The 3,393-nt window shown below is 57.6% G+C and overlaps 1 annotated feature.

Moving 5' to 3' along the window:
• Window positions 2,056-2,585: a silencer, noted in NCBI's record as "silent region_12413". NCBI's record gives its function as "represses an Ori minimal core promoter by ATAC-STARR-seq in GM12878 lymphoblastoid cells {active_cell/tissue: GM12878}" and the evidence as "EXISTENCE:reporter gene assay evidence [ECO:0000049][PMID:35858748]".

Consider the following 3,393-nt stretch of genomic DNA (forward strand, 5'->3'; position numbering starts at 1 on the left):
TCTTTCAGTTCTGTACTCTGAGGAAGTCACTATAAGCAGCCCACACCTACCAAGTAGGGAGTTATGCTCCACCTTCCTGAGAATGGAGTATCTACATACATTATTTACCATTTTTCTGCATGAATATTTGTCTCTTTTCCATTACGTTTTTTTTTTCCTGTAAAATTCTTTCAATTTTCTGTATGCTTGAAATATTTCATAATGAAAAGGAGGGAAAAAAATGGCTGGGGTGGGGACGATGATATACATCCTGCACATGCTACCAAGTACAAGGGCACGGGGGTTTCAGGGGCGTCTGGGGATGCAGCAACACATGCAGCACCTTCTCCAGAATTCACTTTCCCACTGTCATGGTTTGGCTGCGTCCTTACCCAAATCTCATCTTGAATTGTAGCTTCCATAATTCCCACATGTTGTGGGAGGGACCTTGTGTGAGGTAACTGAATCATGGGGGTGGGTCTTTCCCATGCTGTTCTCACGAGATCTGATGGTTTTATAAAGGGGAGTTCCCCTACACAAGTTCTCTCTCGTCTGCCGCCATGTAAGACGTGCCTTTTGCCTTTTGCCATGATTGTCAGGCCTCCCCAGCCATGTGGGACTGTGAGTCCACTAAATCTCTTTTCGTTTATAAATTACCCAGTCTCAGGTATGTCTTTATTAGCAGCATGAGAACAGACTAATACACCAACTGCCCAGTGGCTGCAGCACACAGAGGTCAACAACAATCTCACCTGCACTGTGTCCAAATCAGAACTAGATGGAGGCCCACCAATCAGGACCCCAAAGCTCAGGATGCCACTGCCTCCTGGTTTCTTAAGCTAGCAATGTGGGAATCACCCTTGCCTGGCCTCCTCCCCCATCTAATCGAAAGCAAATCATGTTCTGCCTTAAAACGCTTTAGTTTCAAGGTTGCAAGTCAAACATCCTTGAAACTATTAGAGCAAGCCTTCTAAAATTACAAGAAAGTTCGTTTCCCTTCTTAGGAAACAGAAATGCAATTTTATGAGGAAGCCATGCAGAATACGTACAGATTTCATTTAAGTGTTCTAGTAACTGATAGGCAAATCATTGCTAACCTTGTCCTTACTCATCTGAGAAACCCAACTACATCTTCCTAAAGCACCCATGACAGCAGATTCCCCATTCATTCGAGTTCTTCATTAACAGCCAACAATCCTCATTAATGCTTGGTGAGTGATTACCAAGGGCTTCCCGAGGGATAATTCACTCAGTCCTCAGGCCACTCAGAAGCACAGGTTACTCTATTCTGATTTTGCAGAGGAAGAAACAGAGAGATTAAGCCAAGACCAAACAGCAGTAGGTAGCAGAGAGGTGGCTGCGACATCTCTTTTCTTTCTCTTCCCCTCTTTTTCTTCCTTTCTCTCTCCCCTCCCCTCCCCTTCTCTTTTCTTTTCTTTTTGTGAGACAGAGTTTTGCTCTTGTTGCCCAGGCTGGAGTGCAATGGCGCGATCTCAGCTCACCACAACATCCGCCTCCTGGGTTCACTCCTGCCTCAGCCTCCCGAGTAGCTGGGATTACAGGCGTACATCACCACACCCGCCTAATTTTGTATTTTTAGTAGAGATGGGGTTTCTCCACGTTGGCCAGGCTGGTCTCGACTCCCTACCTCAGATGATCCGCCCCCCTCGGCCTCCCAAAGCGCTAGGATTACCGACGTGAGCCACCGCGCCCAGCTGACATTTCTTTTCATTAGTCCAGCCCTCTGCGCCCTCTTCCAAATGCCTGGCTTCCTCCAGAACCTCCAGAGCACATTGTTGGGGCCTGAGGAGCAGTGCCAAGGGTCCCGGAATCCCATCTGCTCTGATCAACAGTCACAGGACCGCCGACGAGGAAAGAGGATTTGCCACCGTCCCCTGACAGGTTAGAACCAGAACGTTCCGCCCTGCTGGGCCCAGGGCCAGGCTCGGAGCAGGCTTCTCAAACTGCAGGGTCCACGCCACCCATCGGGGGTCTGGCGGTCTAGGGTGGGGCCCGAGACTCCAAACTAGGCTGCCGTGAGGACCACACCGGGAGGCGCCGTGGGGGGCGGGAGACCTCAGCCGCGGGGCGGAGAAGGGCCAGGCGCGCGCTCCTGGAGGTACGGGGCGCGCAGCCCCGAGGTGTGCCCGGGCCGAGGTGGGCGTCTCCCGGGCGCGCCCGGGCGTATGGCGGCGTCGCTGGGATGCCAGATCCCAGGGAGCTCACCGAGGCCACGCCGATGGCCACCCGGGTGGAGCCTGGGCTGTGGGCTTCGCCTGCGTCCCCGCGGCCTGTCCACGCGTCCGGCACCCGGAGCTAGGGCGTGGCCAGGTCGGAAGCCGGCTTAGCGCGCCTTTCACCCCTGGCCCCACCCAGGGCTCAGCCCAGCGCCGCGGCGGGCCCGGGCTCCCAGGTCTGCGGCTTTCACTGGGCCGCGTCCCTGCAGAGGGCCCCGGCGACTGGGGAGGAGGCCGCCCTTTCCTTCCGGCCCGCGACCGCCCCGGGCTGTCCCTACCCAAGGGAGACTCCCAGCGGCCCGGAGCCTCAGACTCTCCGGGAGCCAGGCGGCGGCGCCCCAGGGCTGGGGCCTTGGAGCCTGGGAAAGCAACCGGGGGTCTCTGGGGAGTCCTGAGCGCAGGCGCCCGCCCACGGCCAAGACCGTGGCCCAGCCCTCCTCAGACCTCCCAAGGGGGCCTGCCTGTCCCTGCGGCCTGAGAGCCTGTCCCTGCTGCCCCGACGTCCAGTCCCTACTGCCCCGAGGTCCTGTCCCTGCGGCCCTGCCCTTAGAGCCTCTCCCTGCTGCCCCAGAGCCTGTCCCTGCTGTGTCGAAGGCCTGTGCAGGACTCGAGGCCGTCTCCCACTCAGAGGGCCTGTCCTTGCTGCCCCAAGGGACTGTCCCTGACGCAGGGCCTAGGCCTGGAAAGTGGACACTCAAGAGTCCCCAGGTGATGTTTGGGGTCCGTCTGCCAGAAAGCTGTTCTGCTCCGATGGCGGCGGCAGCCTCTGCCTCCCCCACTGAGTGCAGGACTCAGCTCTTCCTGGCTTGGGGTGCAGTGCAGAAGGGGACCCTCCTTGAGCCCTGGCAAGCACGGGAGGCGCTTCTGCAAGAGGCAGCTGCTGGCTGAGCCTGGTGCCCAGGGAGGTGGTGACGAGGACGCACTCCTTCCAGTTCACTGGGCGACTCTAAGGGACACCAATACAGGGATTGGTGGGCCGGCCCCCCGAGAGAGTCAAGGGAAGAAGCAATACACATGGTGTCGCCCTGCTCAGTCCACCCCAGACCACCACCAGCCAGGCGTGGAGACAGGACCAGAAGGACAACTGCTGGGCTCTGGGGGTGCTGAGCAGGGGTGAAAGCGTCCTAGAGGCTTGGTGCCGACCTGGACACGGCCCGGCCCAGGCGTGGACTCCCCA

This window comes from Homo sapiens, chromosome 2 (genome assembly GCF_000001405.40).
Source record: "Homo sapiens chromosome 2, GRCh38.p14 Primary Assembly".
Lineage (NCBI taxonomy): Eukaryota > Metazoa > Chordata > Mammalia > Primates > Hominidae > Homo > Homo sapiens.